The sequence below is a fragment of the Homo sapiens genome, chromosome 12, assembly GCF_000001405.40.
Source record: "Homo sapiens chromosome 12, GRCh38.p14 Primary Assembly".
In the NCBI taxonomy this organism is placed as follows: Eukaryota; Metazoa; Chordata; class Mammalia; order Primates; family Hominidae; genus Homo; species Homo sapiens.
This window is the reverse complement of record NC_000012.12, coordinates 11823153-11843144: the sequence shown is the minus strand read 5'-3', so window position 1 is coordinate 11843144 and position 19992 is coordinate 11823153. Positions and strand designations below refer to the sequence as shown.

The 19992-nt window shown below is 43.5% G+C and overlaps 1 protein-coding gene across 12 annotated transcripts in view, besides 5 other annotated features; it reads right to left on the bottom strand.

Moving 5' to 3' along the window:
* Positions 1 to 19992, bottom strand: part of ETV6 (ETS variant transcription factor 6) — a 245704-nt gene that overhangs the window by 52233 nt on the left and 173479 nt on the right. For 9 of the 12 annotated variants that reach the window (XM_047428502.1, NM_001413914.1, NM_001987.5 and 6 more), the window contains one exon: positions 3841 to 4005. In XM_047428502.1, the coding sequence (XP_047284458.1) occupies positions 3841 to 4005 (165 nt within the window). Of the gene's footprint in view, positions 1 to 3840; positions 4006 to 13915; positions 14111 to 14535; positions 14620 to 15696; positions 16744 to 17431; positions 17502 to 19992 lie in introns of all 12 variants that reach the window. The other 3 variants (XM_017018991.2, XM_047428503.1, XM_047428504.1) reach the window with 3 other exon arrangements.
* Positions 3530 to 4729: an enhancer, noted in NCBI's record as "BRD4-independent group 4 enhancer chr12:11991350-11992549 (GRCh37/hg19 assembly coordinates)". NCBI's record gives its function as "activates an origin of replication core promoter dependent on BRD2, P300/CBP, MED14 and CDK7 cofactors, and independent of BRD4, by STARR-seq in HCT116 cells {active_cell/tissue: HCT116}" and the evidence as "EXISTENCE:reporter gene assay evidence [ECO:0000049][PMID:35650434]".
* Positions 6501 to 6730: an enhancer, noted in NCBI's record as "active region_5997". NCBI's record gives its function as "activates an Ori minimal core promoter by ATAC-STARR-seq in GM12878 lymphoblastoid cells {active_cell/tissue: GM12878}" and the evidence as "EXISTENCE:reporter gene assay evidence [ECO:0000049][PMID:35858748]".
* Positions 10766 to 10835: a silencer, noted in NCBI's record as "silent region_4247". NCBI's record gives its function as "represses an Ori minimal core promoter by ATAC-STARR-seq in GM12878 lymphoblastoid cells {active_cell/tissue: GM12878}" and the evidence as "EXISTENCE:reporter gene assay evidence [ECO:0000049][PMID:35858748]".
* Positions 12663 to 12862: an enhancer, noted in NCBI's record as "active region_5996". NCBI's record gives its function as "activates an Ori minimal core promoter by ATAC-STARR-seq in GM12878 lymphoblastoid cells {active_cell/tissue: GM12878}" and the evidence as "EXISTENCE:reporter gene assay evidence [ECO:0000049][PMID:35858748]".
* Positions 19783 to 19922: an enhancer, noted in NCBI's record as "active region_5995". NCBI's record gives its function as "activates an Ori minimal core promoter by ATAC-STARR-seq in GM12878 lymphoblastoid cells {active_cell/tissue: GM12878}" and the evidence as "EXISTENCE:reporter gene assay evidence [ECO:0000049][PMID:35858748]".

Genomic DNA, 19992 nt, shown 5'->3' with positions numbered 1-19992 from the left:
CCTGCTGGCAGGCATCGCCTTGAAATTCTGTCCATGGCTTTCTAGTGGGTGCCTTAATTAAATTACCTTCCGTATAAATTTATCTTTATCCCCAGCTCATAAAATTCTACATAATGGAGACGATGTATGATGCTCACATCTATTATTCCCAGCCCTGGCCTGCCTCTTGTTTTAGATGTCCAACTGCAGATCAGGACAAGTTTTCTTGAATGTCCTGGCATTGCTTGCTTTAAAAATGAACTCTAACCACTACTTCCAAGTCAGCTCCCCATCTTAGCTAGCCACTTTGTGCCTGAGTATTATTTTGATCTCACTGATCCAGTCTGGGCTTCACTGCCTCCCATTAGGATCACAGCAAGGACACTCTAACTAGCTTTCCTGCTTTAAGTAAGCCAATGAATCTACCCTACGCACTGGTGGAAAATGTCTGTTGCAAAAAGAGAGCTCCAATCATATTTCCCTGATCAAAACTTTCCAGTGGTTCCAATTACCTGTAAAATAAAACCCAAACTTCTTAACCTGGGTACTCTCAAACCGGGTCATCATTCAACCTACATTTGTTGAGTGCCACCTGGAAGCCATGCCCTGGTGTTAGGTACTGGAGACTTGGCGACTTAATAGAACACAATCACTGCCCACATTGAACTTTCCACTCTAGGGGAGGGATCCGGAGTAGCAAACAATCAGCAAACAATGTATAACACTGTGTGTGTGTGTGTGTGTGTGTGTGTGTGTGTATCTGTGTCAAGGGCCATGACAGAGGGAAAGAATGCTCTAAGATAAAGGAGAAACAGCACCTAGCCTAGATGGAGGTAGAACAAGATGGGAGAAAGGAAAGTGGAATGGAATTAGGGAAGTAGGGATGGGAGTCAAGAGAAGCCTTCCAGGAGACAGTCCACCAGTTTGAAATGTGAGGAGGCAATCAGACAAGCCGGAGAGGCATGGTGAGTGATGTTCGACCATGTTTCAAAGGGAGTGTCTAGCACGTGCAGTCTTGTCTCTGAATTCCTCTTCCATGTACACCAGCCTACATCTCCTTCTTCTTCTTTTTTTTTTTTTTTTTGAGACGGAGTCTCGCTCTGTCGCCCAGGCTGGAGTGCAGTGGCGGGATCTCGGCTCACTGCAAGCTCCGCCTCCCGGGTTCACGCCATTCTCCTGCCTCAGCCTCCCAAGTAGCTGGGACTACAGGCGCCCGCCACTACGCCCGGCTAATTTTTTGTATTTTTAGGAGAGACGGGGTTTCACCGTTTTAGCCGGGATGGTCTCGATCTCCTGACCTCGTGATCCGCCCGCCTCGGCCTCCCAAAGTGCTGGGATTACAGGCGTGAGCCACCGCGCCCGGCCTACATCTCCTTCTTAACATGCTTCCTCATCTCCTTCTTGTTTGCCTTTCAAAGTTTTCAAAGTCAGGCTCCATTACCTTGTCTATGAGGTTTGTTCGACAAGCCAGCTAGAAATGGCCCCTCTAATCTCTGAACTCCCTTAGCCTGTACCTGTGTACCTCTGGCATAGAGTTGCTTGGTGAATACTCATGGAATGAATTTCTATTGCCACCTCCTAACTGATCTATATAGCACCTCACATCCATTCTAGTGCATCAGGCTTATCAGGGCTTCCTGCCTTTTCTGCCTCTTCTACTCATCAGGTGGGCATTCTCACCATCACCCAAATATACTTGGTGATGCTGTTCCAATTACCCTCTGCCTACTCAATCCCACCCATTCTTCATGGTCCAAACCAACTCCATTCCTTCTCTCCCGACACCAGTGCTACTCTGCTCTCTCCCTCCTCCAGCCTTCTTTGGCCTTTTAGATCAACGCAATCCTGCCTCTAACTGGACAGTAACTTCCTTGAGAGCAGCACCATCTTCCACATGGCCCACCTGACAAAGACTCGACAAAGTGGCAAGGAACTGCGGACAGATTTTCACGTATCTTTGTTCATAGCTCTGAGCAGAGAGAACCCAGTTTCACAAATAATGCTAAGAGGTCACTGTGGAGGAAAATAAACCAGCTATAAAAAAGTGCACCTGAGATAGGATGAAGGGGAAATTTATAGAGACTTGGGAGGAAAGCTTGCCCAAGGTCCAAGTCAAATCAAGTCAAAACCCACCACTGTATTTTCCTTTGCTTGCTTTACATGAATGGTTTCATTGGAACACAAAGAGGTAGGGATTTTTCCTCCAGATATATAACGTTGCCTCTTTGAGTATAATATCTCTGAGTTTCCACTGGAATAGAAAAGGGAAGTATTTTGTAATAAATTCAAAAGAACTATTTAGGATAGTCTGATTTATTTACATGGTTGTTTTATAGTTTTCTTATTGTGAGATTACATACAGAATTGATGATATGAGACAAAATGTTTCAGGTATGTTTGTGTCCCTTCCAAATTACTCAATTTTGAAGATATAAACTTTCAAGTTTCAATAACATCTCTACTTCTGGGGAACTTCTTTAGCATTTCTTCATATAAACGGTCTGTGGCAACTGGGAAGAACAGTGGAGATACGGGTGCTGGGGCTTTATCTCATCTCCTGTAATGAGGGACGTTTCCTCATGACGGTTAGTTTATTAACTTCTGGCAGGTCTCCAGGAGTAAATAAAGGTTGAACGTAGTTAGGGACTATGCCAAGACCTTCTGCAGGATCCTCGCCCTTTGTCAAGTTACATCAGAGTCGAGGTCTGCAGTGGGATTCAGTAAAAGGAGGGCCTTGAGTACTTCAGTAATTAATCCCGCAAGAGGCATAAACCTGAGACCACAGTTCCCCTTTGACATATGTAGTTCCCAGACAGGTACCTTCTAAATATCCACAGGGTTTAGGAAATGAAACTGAGACAAATCTTTGAAGCCTTATCCACATGAGCAATACACTCTGCAGGTAGAGATGCTTGTTACTGAATGGAAATCTTCTAATGCATTATCAGGAGCCCTTAATTAGACAAGCTTTCTGAGTCAGATGAGCCCGAGGAGACCTCTGCTTGTATTTTTTAGGATTTCTACAGGCTACAAGATGCATTACCTCAAACGAGTCCTACTTCTAAGGGAAACCACTTGAAGCCTTTCTAAACTGGCCTTGGCTACTAGGATCTCCCATTTCCCAGTCTTTATCTGCAGTTCCCCCAGTTCTATTTTCTTTTCTAGCCCTTCTACGTCCTTCTCCTTCCTCTCTTTGTTTTCGGTTGAGCAGTTCACAGCCTGCATTCACTCTCAGCTATCTCTTTTAGAGAGTCAAAAGGCCAAAATGGCATTTTTTTCTTTTTCTGAGACAGGTTCTCGCTCTGTCACCTGGGCTGGAGTGCAGTGGTGCAATCTCAGCTCACTGCAGCCTCCACCTCTTTGGCTCAAGCAATCCTCCCACCTCAGCCTCTTGAGTAGCTGGGACTACAGGTGTACACCACCACACTCAGCTAATTTTTAAAATTTCTGTAGAGTTGAGGTTTTGCCACATTGCCCAGGCTGGTCTCAAACTCCTGGGCTCAAGCAATTCACCCTCCTTGGCCTCCCAAAGTGCTGGGATTATAGGAGTGAGCCACCACGGCCAGCCTTCTTTTTCTTCTTAGTGGCACAGTTAGAGCCCTTAAGTTCCAGTGTACGTAGGACTAAACTGGGTTCCTCTCCTAAACTTAAAATTCTCCCCCTTGGTCTGTAAACACTTCCTCTTCTTCCCTCAAACTGGCTCATGCTAGCATAATCTTCCTTCAACTTCCTTCCATCGTCATCCCTTCCTTGTGATGACTCACTGTTGGGATTTCTTGGGCCGGGTGAGGGGTGTTAAAGACCAACCACTAACTAAGAGACTTTCCAAGTTGGGCATATGCCAAGAGTCCAGACTCTCACCTGAATGAGGAGATCGATAGCGAAAGTCCTCTTTGGTCAGCAGCAGGAGAGCTTTGCCATTCATTTCAAACGTGTTGCTGTCAATTGGCCTTAAAGAAAACTCATTTTCAGCCCACTTGAGCCACTGGGCTACGTCATCCCTGCTCCAGTAAATTGGCTGCAAGCCTGTTGGAGAGAGCATGAGGCAGAAAGAAAGAGAGAAAGGTCTTGTCAGTTAGACAGCTGGAATAAAGGGAGAAGGTCTCTGAATAGTTAACAAAATGAGTCTCCACATCTCAAGAGCCCTTATGTTCAACTCTGAGTCCCCTCTCCAGCCCTTGTTTGAGCCGCCCCACTGGGGGCTTCTCGAAGCCCAGAAGCAGCCTCCAAGAGGAGTCCAGGGAGCAGTTTGTACACCAAACCCTACTCTGGGGTGTGCTGTCAGATTAACTTTTTATTTAGAGGCAAAATGAGAAAAAGATCTTTTATGTGTTTAAGGGATGGTAGGTCTTAGAGACCTGCCCTTCCTTGCCCAGTTCCAGGGGCTGTTCCAGGGTGCCCACAGCACCCACAGGGGCTCAGAACTATGACACGTGTCAGTGTGGTTGGAGGGTCCTCAGATTCAGAGCTGATCTGATTGCAGCCCAGCGTCCTTCTGAAGAAAGAATGTTCCAGAGCTGAGCTTGACCTTCCAGAGCTGCCAAATAATGAAATGTTCCCTGAAACTTCTTCCAGGAAGAGCAATTCACTCAGCCTCTGGGAAACCATCAGGCTGGCCTCTGGCAATAAGAGGGCAAAGTAAGGATAAAAGGTCTTCTGCCTTTTTATTCTACTCACTGACATTAGAGCTTCCTGGTGGGGTGGTACTTGAACTCTGAGTAGGAACCAAGTGGGCAGGAGGGGGGTACAGAGCAGGGGCTGAGAGGTTGGCTCAGGTTGGCTCTCTGGGAGCCTGACTGTAAGTCTATAGTTTTATTTTATTTTGCTGTTGTGAGAAATCTTTGATAAGTTAGAACAGTGGTTCTCAAAATGTGATCTTGGGACCCATCAGGGTTCCCGAGACCTTTGTAGGGTGCCTATGAAGTAAAACATCTTGTCATAACAATATTAATTATTTGCCTTTTTCGCTCTCATTCTTTCTTAGGTGGAATGTTCTAGAAGGCATATGATGTGATCTTGCAACAGATTGAATGCAGAAACAGAGATGAGCGTCCAGCCATCTTCCATTAAGCCAGATTTTAAGAGACTTTCAAAAATGTGTAACAATGCTACTCTTCTCACAAATTATTTTTGGTTTGGGAAAATATATTTTAAAATATGTTTGCATTAATATAGAGTTGGCTATTTTACTTGCTAAATTCATAAATATTTTGTAAATACCCAGGTTTAATTTATGTAATAATATGGTAACTACAGATAACTATAACCCATATAAGCAAAAGCTCTTTGGGGTCTCCATTAATTTTTAAGAATCAAAAGGAGACATGAGACCAAATTTAAGAACTGCTGGGTCAGAAGAAGCTGGATGTTCAATGGATCTTCATTCTCTAAAATCACATGGTGTGAATCAATAGCTCAAACAGAGCAATGGCATCAGTGTTGCTAAGAGGAGCTTCCGTCTCTCACTATAAGTTACTTAAACTTGCTACGAAGACTTCACAAGTGTGTTATAAAAGTGTCCCTCAGTTTGATCCTGGAAAAAATTACCTTTCATCCTAAACCAGGCATGCCAAAGAACAATCTGGTTTGCTATATGGGGCTGCTCTTCCTACCTGCTGAAGTGGGGAACAAACGGCTCAAATGCCCTGGAAAATGTCCAGGGCCTCTGGGCATGATTGTCTTCCAAGTGGCTCCTTTGCAAAGTGTAGTTTTGAGGAATGGTAGTTGGCTTCCTCTAAACCTGTGGAAGTCCCCTCAAAACCAAAATTCCTTTTTTGTAGTGCACCAAAAAAAGAACTACTGGGCACTGGAAATCATTAGAGATGAGCATTTAAGAGCTTTTTTCTTGGTGTTTTTAGGATAATTTTTTTTTCACATGGAAACAAATTAGAATTTCAAATAATAATTTATGGTGCATTACTGCTTTATGATCTTTAGAATAAAATACAGCCACTAAAAGTTTTTGTTTTTGACTCCTGACTGGCCAGAAAGTGATGCCTATTAAAAACAGTCCATGGATATGGGAAGTACCAGCTCTCTCCAATGACCTTGAAAACACGTATCTAGAATCACAGGGAGGTGGGAGTGGCAGTGAGGGTTACTCAGCAAAATCTCAGTTTTTGAACTGGTAAAAACCTTAAACCTAACTCCTTACTGTCAATGGTGTCACCTTTGAACAAGAATGGCGCTGCGATTTGTTATTATGGACCTTCCTCTCCTTCACACAGGGAGTTCCCATTAGGGGACACATGTGAAGGTCTGGTTCCTCAGGCCTAGGAAGGTGCCTGGAGGTGAGAGGTCCAGTGAGCAGAAGATGCTCAGGCAGAAACAGGAAAAAGTACAGGGTGGCTTATTGGAAACATGGGCCCCAAAGCAAATACAGAACTGAATCCTGCTTGGGAGGGGAATTGAGAGTAAAATGCTGAAGTTTCTGCAGAGGACACGCTGCAACGGAGGGAGGTGGGTGAGAAGGGGGTGGGGGATGCAAGTAGTAATTTGAGGTTCTTTATATTCTATGGAAGAAAATACTCATGAGTAATCTTTTCCCTAAATACAAGAAGAGTCACACTCCAAACAGCTCTGCCGGTTAAGCACAACAGTTTCTCTTTTCACTTCCCATTAATGTCTCCCACAGCCCAGCCCCTGAAGCAACCAGGGCCACCGTGTGGAAACCCCCTCACCAGGAACCGATGCAAATGCCCTCGGCTTATGTACAAGAGGAACCCAGCAAGTTACAGGGGAGACTGTGGTGATCCCAGCAGTCATACAAAAGTGATCTTGACAGAGCAAGCCACCTGCTCGAGGCCACTCAATACATTTATCAGCGTCGCTGCTCTTCCTTTAGCATAAAGAGTGAAGTAGGTGGACACGTTCACCGAGCTGGAAAGAGGCTGGATAAACTTTGGTGTTCAAAGTCAAGTCCCACTGTTATTTCCTTTGTAATTCAATAGAATAAAAAGGTTGTGGTGTAGAATTGAGGGGGGAAAAAGCCCCTTTTCCTTAAACCTAAAGCCCTTAAGACCTTGTGTGTTAGCGTGTCTAAATGGGATAGAGCCTTGCACCTGGAGGCAATTCTAATCAGGCTGATTTAATTTACTTAATAGTCATTTACTAAGCACTACTATGCACCTAGTACTGCTCTAAGCACTTTATATGAATAGATATTAGCTCATTCAACTGCATGCTCACACAACCCTATGATAGGGATTCAGATTAGGAAACTGAGGCCCAACGCATTTAAGGGACTTGCCCAAGGTCACATAACCCTAGTAATGACAGAAGCGGAGATCTGAACCCAGGCAATCTGGTTCCAGAATCTGTGCTCTTATCCATCACACTGTACTTCGACATGCATGTCCCATCCAGATCCAGAATTGAGACTGGTTTTGAACATCCATTAGGGATTCAAAAAAGACTGAGTGAATTGACTCCTACCCATCCAAGACTTAGATCCTTGGAGACTTTCTCAAATTATCAACAGACTAAAAATATAGCCAAAAAATCTGTAGATCCCTGGAGAAGTAGATTTATAAATGGGAAGAGGAGGGAGGTGTAGGTGGGACTCTGCTTTTAATGCATCCAGGAATAAAGTCCTCCCTTCACAGGCTACTTGCTCCCAGGCACTCATGGGTGCTTGGTCTTGAGAGTCTTACACGGCTCACAGCTGCAAATGGAACAGAAGCTGCATGGGCAGAATGAGGGAGGCACATACATAACTTGCTTTATTTACGGCCATCTCTTGCAACTTTAATTCAACAAAGTCAAAGAATATAGATGTTAATGATCATTAGGAAAAGGAAAAAAAGGAGAGAAGGAGAGAGACCATTACTCTGCACCTATATTATACTATTCCCTGTGCGCATAGCGTGCCTCTTGAGGGCCATTTACTAAGATCAGCATTTTTAATGCCAATTAGTTTCAGAGAATATTTGAAAAGAATTTTGTACAGAGAAAGTGAACTGCTGTGATTAAGAAAGTTACTAAAAATTCTACTGTACTTCTCCCCTCTCCCGAGTAGGTCCAGTATATTGTGTCATATCCTTCAGTGACACACCCAGGCCCTTAAACTTACTTCTAATATTTCTTCAATTCCATGCTTTAATGGGCAGCCACATTCATCAGTACATTTTGACCCTGTTTCAGACTTTCTGAGATGTTCTTAAACTAATGATGACAAACATGTTGGGAGACAGGAGCCTGGATTTTATTCCCAGATCTGCCATGAATTAACATTTGATTCTGGGCAGGCCACTCAGCTTCTCTGTGGCTCAGTGACTTCATCTGTACAATGACGGGCTTAGAGTATGTGATCTCTATTCCCTTCAGGGTTTCATGTAGTCAATATGCTCCTATTTAATTTGAATCCAAAAAACCAAAGAATACCTTACAGCCAGGATCTTTTTCTACAGAATTACTCCATGCCCATGGCCATGACCCTGAGATTTTGTAACTTCCTGAAGGATCTTCTGAATCACAGAAGACAGATTAATGCTTAAGTGTGTTTCATTATATTCTAATTCTTGGAAAAGTTATAATCTAGCTATGGCAATAATCAACATAACTGCTTGCATCGGGGTAGTACTTCAGAGTTGATAAGGTGCTTTCATACATATTACCTCATGTAATTCTCACAAAAGCCCAGTGAAGTCTGTTGCATTCTCTTTTCAGTTTAATAGAAAACAGGGCTTAGTCATCAGGTGATTTTATTGATTTGAGCAACACTCAGTTCAAGCTTTTCTGCTACAGTAGCCATTCAGCAAAACCACTCCTTATCCAAACTTTCTGTATAAACAGGAATTTGCTCTAGGTTCTACGTGCTGGAGACAGAATCATAAAATGTGAAAGATGGAAGCTGAAGCCTGGAAGTTAAGAGACTGACTCAGGATCAACCTGCCCCTGATCCCCTGACTTTTCCCAACATCCCATGTTGTCTCATAACTTGATTCAATGACCCACACCAATTTTGTAACCCTCAACACAGTGAGGACAGTTATCACGTCCTTGCTTAGTCATTTTGCCTCCAGATGAAACGTCCTTAATTGGTCCAAAGATAACTCCTCCACTGCAGTTTGTAGACCCTTACCAACCTGCCTGCCTCCTCCAGAGATCTATGTGGCTTCAATTCCTAAACGCAGCAGTAGGAACAGGACTAGCATTTTTCTTTCTCTGGACAATATACTTCTATTGATAGTAACAGCTAGCAATTACTGAACATTTACACTGAATCTTATCACTGCAATGATTATTATTCTTTTTTTACAGATGAGAAAACTGTAGCACACAGAGATGGAAGTGGTGGTGCCATGACAGAGATCCAGGTGGTCTAGCTCTACAGTGTCAACTCTTAACACCCCACCATAGTGCTTTTTGTGTAGCCTAATAACAGCAATGCACTTACTTGTAAGCAAGTGATTGCTATGTGCCAGGAGTCATTCTAAATGCTTTGCATATGTAACTCATTTAATCCCTGCAGCAATCCTGTAAGACAGGAATGATCCCCATTTATGGAGGAGAAAACTAGAACACAGGGAAGTTAAACGACTTGCCCAAAGTCACTCAGCCAGGAAATGGAAGAGCTGACATTTGAATCCAGGTGACCTGGCTCCGAGCCCACGTTAAAAACTACCTAACTCTCTAAGCTTATTTGGTGTTTTGGCAGGATATCAAATTAAATTTATGACTAAATTTTAAAAAGAAAAAGTTTCACGGTAGTTCAGCATGCAGGCACTGAGCACAAGCATGGAACCTCTATTTCCCAGCTGTGTGACCTTGTACAAGTTACTTAACCTCTCTGTGTCTTGCTGGTGTCAACTGAAAAATGAGGACAACTTTCATCCTGTGAATTAAATATCATTGAATCATAGATAATGTACTTATACAATTTTCAGATGACATAAAACTAGTGTAGAGTAAAATTATACACATGATGATGATATGAAACACACAGGCCAATATCTGGCATAGAGCAATCACTTAAAAAACATTAGCTATTGCTTTTGTACTGTTATTGTTATAATCACCTTTATAATCTCACCCTACCTGAACATATATAGCTAGCACTTGGAACCCAACTGTAAGAATGTATATTAATTGATATTACATTTTATCTTATTATTTTTAACCATCATCCCAGCCTGCTGCAGTCTTCTCCAGATTTCCATCGATTTCTAGCATCTATACTCTGTAATTTCACGTCATCTGTGGCTTTGCTAAGCATCTGTCACCTCCACAGGTTACTGACAAAGTGCAGATCGTATAGGGCTGAGATGGGAGTACCCTGGTGACACACCAGTCACCTCCTTTTGGACGGATACTGATCAAGTTATTGACTCCTTTTGGGAAGAGTTGTTCAATGATCAATCCATCTAAATACTCTGGTTTTTGGACATTTTCCAAGCTCATCCATGAAAGCAACATCAGAAATTCAACGAAACGCCTTCCTGATATCCTGAAATACAGCAACTACAACACTTAGAGCAACCTTATTAAAGAAGATGAGGAGAGAGGATGAGGAGCAGATGGCTGGCTCCAAAGTGATAATGTCTTCCACTCGTAACATGTATGTTTGAAAATCTGTCCTGAATTTTATCTGGAAGTTCCATCAGGTTAGCTGTTTTATTTCGTACCCACATTTTCCCCAGCTTCTCTTCCTAAAATCAGGTTACCAACAGTTCCTATTCTTTTAGTACAGCTTCCATTTCCCACAACCCTGAAGGATCACTGCCAGTGGCTTATCTTTCACCCCTCTGAGTTCTCGACCCTGGGATGTCATTTGTCCGGGCCAAGAGCCTTGCATTTATTCAGAACTTAGTTTGCTTTTACAATCAATTCACCCATCTCAGGCTTCAATTCCCTTCTGTCAATGTTTGCACTACCTGTTTCAGTCTGACAATCATTCTCCTTCATGGGAGAGAGAAAGAAGTTGAACAGTTTTGGTTTCTTTGCCATTTGCTGATGTTACCCCATCCAACCCCATCAGCAGGCTGACATCATGCTTATTCTTATCCTGCTGCCCACATTTATTGTTTTCTTAAGCGTATTCCATGGTTTTCAGCTCACTTACGTTTTAAAATTCTAGAGCTCAGAAACTCTCCTTTATATGTTTCTTTTCATTAAGTTGCTTTTTCATCCATTATATACATCTTTTTAAAAATCGGAGCTCATTAGACTGGTACTCACAAAACAGTGAGAAGATAAATTGGCATCATCTCTCTGGCAAACAACTTAGTGATATTTTAAGAACCCTGTAAATGTTAACTTCTCAGAATCTACCTTAAAGAAATAACTTAGTATGTGGAAGAATCTTTCATGCACAAAGATGTCTATTGCAGTGTTATTTTTAATAATGAAAAACTAGGAACAGCAATAAGGAAATAAGTAATAGTTACTGACAATATCTATGATAGAAAATTAATGCAGCCAGTAACATGATGAAGAGTATGTATTCATATTGAAAAATAGTATGTGTACATATGTAATAATCTCAATGCATAGAAAAATACAATGAAACGTAAAAATATTCAAAGAATTGACACTCAGTAAAATTGTAGGTGATATTCCCTGTCTCCTTTTCCTTTTTTCTTTCTTATTTCTCATTCTCTATTAAGCATGTTTTACTTTTATATTTAAAAAACTATTTAAGGGCTGGGTGTGGTGGCTCACACCTGTAATCCCAGCACTTTGGGAGGCCAAGGCCGGTGGATTGCTTGAGGTCAGGAGTTTGAGACCAGCCTGGCCAACACGGTGAAACACTGTCTCTACTGAAATACAAAAATTAGCTGGGCATGGTGGCAGGCGCCTGTAATCCCAGCTACTTGGGAAGCTGAGGCAAGAGAATTGCTTGAACCCAAGAGGTGGAGTTTGCAGTGAGCCGAGATTGCACCACTGCACTCCAGCCTGGGCAACAGAGTGAGACTCTATTTCAAAACAAACAAACACACACACAGACACACACAGACACAGACACACACACACACAAACTATTTAAAAATTGAGCTAATCAGAGAATATCCCCAATATCGCCTCATCAGTTTCTTTAGTTGTCTCCCTTCCTTCTTATTCCAATAAGGGTCATATGCAGTTGATAAGTCAGGATTTCATTTTCAAGAGCAGCCCAAATGACTCTGAGTTGTGTCTCAGCATTCAGATCATGAGATCATAAATACTTTTCCCTACATTTTAAAAATTTGTCTTAAGTCAAGAAAACACATCTGTTCTTGTCTCTCATTTCCCTTCCCCAATCCTAAAATCATGTTTTTATTCTCACCCTCTGCTATCATTTCTACTTTTCCAGACAATTCCTCATTTGTCAGATTTGAGTGCAAATTAGCAATGCTCCTCAATGCATCTTCCACCTTCTGGGAGATGAAATTGTGAATTGTTAGGTACATGTGTTAAGAGTTAACATGTCCATGCATGTAGCTGAAGGGGATTTTGCAGTGATTTGCACACGGTGCCTGGCACATAACAGTCCCCAGGTTTAATGCCAGACTGTACAGCCAAAGATTTCCATTCCTAGGCAGTCCACATCTGAGCCAGCTCTGCAGTCTGTGATTGGCACCCCTCTCCTCCCCGACACATCTGATCACTTACTCCAGCTCTGGCTTTGATGGTCAGGACACTCAGCTCTGTGCAGTTCAAAACATTACCAGATGCTTCCGCATCCATGTCATGCCATCATCTATTCTGCGAGGGAGCTAAAGCTGGCACAACTGTATTTTCAGAAGAAACTGAAGTTCAGAAATCGAGGGACTTTCCCAAGGTCACAATGAACCTAAGACCAAAACTCCAGCTCCAGGCTTTCTGTATTACCCAGTGAACTTCCCCTGGGTTAAAGGAAATAATGGATGTAAAAGCCCCTTGCACTCTAAAATGCACTGTAAAAATGTTAAGGGAATGAGGAATAATAAACCATAAACTCAACTTCTCATGGCAGGCCTGGTCTAGCTGCAGATCCCGAATACTGCTCGGTGCCCACAGAGCACCTTCTGACCTCTGCTTGCCGAGGGCAGGGTTTACTTAGAGTTCTTCCCTGTGTACTCTGCCCTTCAAAAGAAAACCAAGTGTCCTCAGAGCCCTTCAAGCTGCTTCCCAGAGGCACTTTTCCGGAGACTTTTCTGCCTCCTTTCCCTTCCCCACCGGCCTGCTCTCTGCAAATCTGCTCAAAACCCCCAGGCCAGCCTTGGATGCATTCTGACAAGCTCCACATCTCACTCCTCTGGGTCTGCCTGTAATCTTGAATGTGCTATCTGACCAAAGCTGCTTTCTGCAAACAAATCCTGTCACTAGGGAATTGGAAGTTCCAAAACATTTCCTATTTCTGTCCTCAAGGTTAGCCTGTATCTCAGCACTAAGTTTCCAAGTGGAGGTCGGAAGGTTATACTCATGTCTTTCAGCCCAAAGTCCAAGAACAAGAACACTCTATGTTCATGTTCAGATCCAAAGTCACAGTCAATTCCCTCGAATGATGTTTTTTCTTATAAACTTCATTTTGTGGATTTTTCTGACTTTTATCTAGTTTTAGCTACAAACGGGTTTTTAGCAGAAAACCTGTTGACAGCAAAACTGACCCAGAGCTTGCCGCTCAGCCTCACAAACGTGACTTAGAAGAGTTCTTCTCATTTTTGCTTCTGGGTAGCAAGCCCAATGTGGTGAGAGCCATGTAGCATTTTAGATCAGACCTTGGGTTTCGCAGTCAAATTGTCCTGGGTTAAAACACCGGCTGCACCACTTACTAGCGCTGGGTTAGTTACGCGTCTGAATCTGTTTCTCCAGCGGTAAGATGGAGTCCAGAATAGTACTTACCTCTTAGGGCAAATGTGAGCATGAAATGAGGTGATCCCTATAGAGATGTTGCACAGTGCCTGGTACAGAGCAAGTGCTCAATGCATTTTGGGGGGTTGGGTAGGACAAGGACTGGATAGTAGATGAGTTGTACTTTGTCCCGTGTCTCCAGAAGACCAAAATACTTTCAGCAGCTCCCTGGAGCTGCAGAAGCTGGAGCAAGCATTCTTGGAAGGTGCATGACGGCTCTGGCAGGAGCTATGAGGCCCAGTACAGTGCTTTGAGGAGGGGACTGAATTGTCATCTTGCAGGCTGGGAAAATGGCTCAGGTGGGGTTGCGGAAAACAGCCTGGATCAGGGAGAGGTTGGAGGAAAGAAGGCTGAAGGAGGTGCCCGCTCAGGCCCCAGGCTAGGCTGAGGCAAGTAAGACATTTGCCCCAGGAGCAAAATTTAAGGGGTACCTTTAAAAAGTTTCAGTAATCAAGATTAAGTCATGTAACGCAATATTTTAAAAATCAAAATTAATGCAGAAAATGTATGGTGACGTAAGCATCAACATTTTAATTAAAGTCCATATCAAAAAGAAAAAAGATAATGGGGAGGGGACAGCAAAAAGGGAGTGGGGAAGAGATTAGAGCAAGTACTTCTCAGCGTTAGGAAGAAGGTACAGGATTCTTTGAGAATTCAGCCAGAGTTCATAAACAAACCCCCCTTCAAAATGCACAGGCACATGGACACAAATATTTGCTTGTGATTTCAAAGCTTATAGACTACCTCAAGTTTATCCATGGATCCCTGGAGAATCCGTTTAGTATTTTTTTTAGTCTCGTGTATGCAAATAGTTCTGACAATATGTACCTGTGAGGTAATGCGAAAACCAAATCAGGTTTAAGAGAGATATATGTCTCTCCTGATATTTCAGGGAGAAAAACAGAAAAGAGAGACACGAAGGGTGCCCTCTTCTCACTTAGAAGTGGGGGTACAATGAAATGTTTGAGCTGTCATTTCTTTATTTGAAACGCACAGTCCTGACCTTAAATAGGGAATGTCCCTTCTTCAGTTATTATAGACATCATTGCTAACATATTGAAAGTTTTTCTTCATAGTAGTTAGGGTCAATCACTGCAAATAACCTTAATTTACGTACAATGAGGCAACTTGGCTATGCAAGGAGAGATACTATACAAGGATGAGTTTCTAAAGCAAAGAGGCATTAAGGCAGCATTTCCTATACTGCAGGGCAGAAAGGTCATTTTTATTATCAAACTTACTGATATGTATGCTTACAAAGAAGCCTGAGTTTAAGAAGAAAAAAAAAGTAGGAAAATAGATATTAAGAGTTGAAATGTTCCTCAAACAGATTTATTGAGAAATCGAAACTGCTGGAGGAAAGTTGGTGCAAGAATGTTTGTAATCCTCAGCAGAAATGGATGGGGTACAGAGAACATAAAGATCCTGCAGGATTTGCATGATTCACAGAACATGGATACTCTCCTGAGGGTGCCTGAATAAAGAGGGATGAAAATTCTTTCCCCTCCTGCTCTTTTAAACCGCACACGGACCATCTCTGGTGCCCGGCACAGTCTGCAGAACATTCCTGTGCAAAGTGTAACCAGAGTAAAACTCATTCTCATTCTGAACTGGGACCTGATCTGTCCGTCACTTGCATGGAGGAGGCTTGGCTTTGTGTGGCTCAGCTGTGCCTGTTCCCAGCCCTCTCGGGTGTCTCTATTCTCCTGCGAAATTTTAAAAAGCCTCTTCTCAGGATGGAGACAGTCCTGATAATCACTGAATTCCAGGAGGAGGAGGTGGAGGTGGACAGGAGGTGTGGGGGCAGGGCGCGGGGGCTGGGAGAAGGGAGTGCGAAAGAGGTGTTGAACTTTTACATGAACAGACCTCAGAAAATACACATAGGGACCCAAAGGCAAATCTGACCTACAGCACCTCCAAAGCATGGCTTTTCTAGAACATGCTGTTTTTTAAGGAGAATTCCACTGCACCCCCTTCTTCCTTGTCCTCTTCCCTGGCTCTTTGGAGAGTGCTTCCAAGTGCTTTCAAAGGCCCGGTTGGTTGCCTTTGGGTGTCGAATCTACCCTCCACCGAAAGGCTGTCTGGGCTGCTGCTGATTCAGCATTTCGCGGGGCAGACTGCTGTGACACACAGGCAGGATGAAATCATTTTAACAGCGTTGCTGACGCCTCATGAAACAAACAAACAAAAAAAAACAAACTTGGAGAAGCAACTTCTATTTAAAGATAATTGTGTTGCATTTGTGTGTGTGTGTGTGTGTGTGTGTGTGTGTGTGTGTGTGTGAGACAGACTTCTCTCTATTCTATTCTATCTCATCCCCTTATTCCTCCTTTCTGAGGACATTCATACGGAAATGGCTTTTATAGACCTATCAATAAAAAAGCTGTAATCTTTTTTCTCACCAGTTATTAATATATTCCCTAGTATTAGAGTTGTAAAGGTTACTAATCCCCTGGCTTAAGATGGTCACTTGGAGTCAGGAAAGCTAAACACCACCACAAAGCGAACCCCGTCTCCCCTTCCAGGGCCACAGATATGTAACTGGATGTCTCATGCTTTGTCCCTGGGCTTATCTGAGACTCCAAGGCTCATACTGGGAGGCCCTCCCTTGCTGCAGAACACTTTTCTCCTTGGCTCTGTCACCCCACCTGGGATTTTACATTATTCATTCGTTTGGATGAAAGCATGAAGATCTCTGTACCAGAGGAAGCAGGCAAAAGGAAAATGATAAATCAATACAGGCTGTTCACACTTAGCTTTGGTGGGTAGTCAGATGAATGAGTGGGGAGGAATGAGTCAGGTGACCCTTGAGTTTTAAGGGCAGACTCCCAAGTAGGTGGCAGGGGTCCTGGAGGCAGGATGGTAGGAGTGACAAGAGGTAGGAGCCCTCACTCCCTTCGGCCCGTCATCATTCATGGCTTACGATTCTTCAAAGGTGCTTTTCATTCTGTGCTGGAAAAGGTATGAGTGTTAACAATATAGATGTGAATATTCTGAGTTCTGGAAAGAGGCCGATGTCTGTTTTTTAACTTTGACATGGGAGTCTGGAAAATCTGTGAAGAGCATGAGTGGCTCATCATGGATGGAGCAAGTAATGCTAATCCACCAAGTGCAAAAATGCTCCCCTGAGGTTGGGCAGAGCGTAAGATGGGGTGAGGTCTCTGGGCGGTCTGCAGGCTGGCCTCCTGCTACCCTACTATTTGTAAAAGCATGCTGTTGGCCAGGTCCTGTGGCTCACACTTGTAATCTCAGCACTTTGGGAAGCCAATGTGAGAGGACTGCTTGAGGCCAGGAGTTCGAGACCAGCCTGGGCAACATAGCAAGAGCCCCATCTCCTTGAAAAACAAAATAAATTAGCCAGGTGTGGTAGTGCATGCCTGAAGTCCCAGCTACTCAGAAGGTTGAGGTGGGAGAATTGCTTCAGCCTAGGAGTGGCTGCAGTGAGCTATGATTATACCACTGCACTCCAGCCTGGGTGACAGAATGAGGCTCTGACTTTAAAAAAAAAAAAAAAAAAAAAGGCATGCTTTCTACTGTTGTTGGCAAGAATTGCTAACTTAATGGAAATATTTAAAATCTCTCTTAACCACGTTATAATAAAATGAAACAACGAAATTCAAATCCTGTTTTTGTCACTTACTAGCTCAGTGACTGGAGATGGCTGAATGTTGGCTGCCAAATAGAAATGTCCGTGTCCTAATCCCCAGAACCTGTGAATAAGACCTAATTTGAGAATGGCTCTTTGCAGACGTCATTAAGTTAAGGATCTCAAGATTATGCAGGTGGGCCCCAAATTCAATGACAGGTGTCCTTATATGGAAACAGAGGAGAGACGCAGAGGAGAGGAGATGGCCATGTGAAGACAGGGGCAGAGACAGGAGCGATGCAGGCGAAAGCTTGCTTTGTGGTTTTTTCCCCAGAGACTCCTATTATCCACGTGGTGAAATTTCTTTGCCGTTCTTCAATATTTGTCACTTTTTCTTGAGTTGTTTTTAAAACCTTTCTTGTTTCTTCTTTAAAAAATTTCCTGCTTCCCCCTTGTGTTTCTCTTTTAAAAAATCACCTTTTGTAAAGATTCATCTTGTATTCTCACTAGTTAACTCTTCATTTCTGAAATGATTTTTCTTTTACTTTTAATTCTTTCCAGAGTCTGTCATTTCATTTGGAAGTTTTTCTAATTCTGATTGATGTTGTGTTTGCCCCACGCTTCGTATCTTTTTCTTCTTACCTTTTAGCTCATTTGGAGGTAAGTAGGGTTTTGAATTGTTCTAAAGGCATGTTGTTTTGGCACGCTTTCTTGAGGGATGCTATTCTGCTCCTTCTGTTCCTTTATCTTATAAAAACTTTGTGTGGGATTTGACCTCACTACTTTTCTGTTGCTCATTTTCATCTGAAGACAATGTTCCGAAATTTTTATGAAATGGCATGGTTCCAGCCTTAGCAAACCCTCTCTTCTATTGTTTTCATGTAGCATTCAAATAAATGGCAGCTGGCTTTCTGAAATCTCCTGGTTCTGTTTCCTTTGGGAGACCTTGCATCTAAGTCTCTGCTGCCCCATCCTTTTCTTTTTCTTTTTCTTTTTGAGATGGAGTCTTGCTCTGTCGCTCAGGCTGGAGTGCATTAGCGCGATCTAGGCTCACAGCAACTTCCGCCTCCAGGGTTCAATCCTGCCTCAGTCTCCTGAATAGCTGGGATTACAGGCATGCATCACCACGCCCGGCTAATTTTTGTCTTTTTAGTAGAGACGGGGTTTCACCATGTTGGCCAGGCTGGTCTCGAACTCCTGACCTCAGGTGATCCACCTGCCTCGGCCTCCCAAAGTACTGGGATTATAGGCGTGAGCCACCATGCCTGGCCATCCCTAACCTTTTCAATGTGCCTCTACTCCCAGCAGCTTCTCCACAGCTATCCTGAAAGCTGGCCATCAGCGTGGCTGGTTAGTGGCAGAGTTCACAGGGCCCAGAGAACTCTACACCTTTCAGACCTCCTCGACGCCACTTGCCCTCACTACTATAGGAACGAGCAAAACCACTCCCACTTTCAGGCTTTCTGGTGAATACCTCTTGGCTATTTTTGGGTTTTCCCTGTTCCAAAGGCTACCAAAAGTCCCATTAAGGTGGGACTTGGGGATGTCTCGTCGCTGGGTTTTGGTTTTGCTATTGAGCTGCTCTGCTCTTCCGTGGGGATTCTGAGAGTTACACTGCTGCTGCCTGTGCTGTCCTCCCAGACTCTGTCACTGAAGACTTCATGCTGGGAAACACAGAGCCCCTTTGGTGTCTCATAAAGAAGAGCACCAATCTTCGGGTTCTCCTAGTGAATCGCTGCTGGGTTTTGTGGCAGTAAGTGAAAGAAATGTGATAATTAATCTAAGGGGTCTCTGGCCCCACCAAAGGGGGTTACAGCCCAAAGTGCAGGAACCACTGCACTCTAGAAACAGAGACAACAACCACAGGGGATACACAGGAAGAATCAAATGGCTGAGAGCCTCAAAGGGCACTGGCAGTCAAGGGGGGCTGAATGGCTTCTCCCACCGAAAGAACTAAGGAACGATTCTAGTGAAGATGAAACATCGAAATAGAAGGAATTACTGGCCGGGTGCGGTGGCTCACACCTGTAATCCCGCATTTTGGGAGGCCGAGGCAGGCGGATCACAAGGTCAGGGGTCTGAGACCAGCCTGGCCAACATAGTGAAACCCCGTCTCTACTGAAAATACAAAAAATTAGCCTGGCCTAGTGATGGGAGCCTGTCATCCCAGTTACTTGGAAGGCTGAGGCAAGAGAATCATTTCCACCTGGGAGGCAGAGGTTGCAGTGAGCAGAGATCGTACCACCGCACTCCAGCCTGGGAGACGGTGCCAGACTCCAACTCAAAAAAAAAAAAAAAGAAAAAAAGGACTCTCTAGTGGGGATTAAAACAACAGTAAAGACACAGCCTTTTACTGTCTTTCCATATCTCCTATCACCGAAAGTCAAGATGTCCAGATGTCAGAACTATGAAATTTTTAATAGTTCACAAAAGTATGAGTGACTCAGCCTGTCAGACATCTTAGCAATCCTAGATCGTGGTGGAGACCTCCCCAAGTTAGTCTTTCCCAAGTTCAGTGATGAATTGCATCTTCAAAGAAATACGGAGTTATAGTCACAGATTCCCCCATGCAAGCCCTTAGGAGGAGCGATCCAGCTGCTCATCTCAGAAAGAGC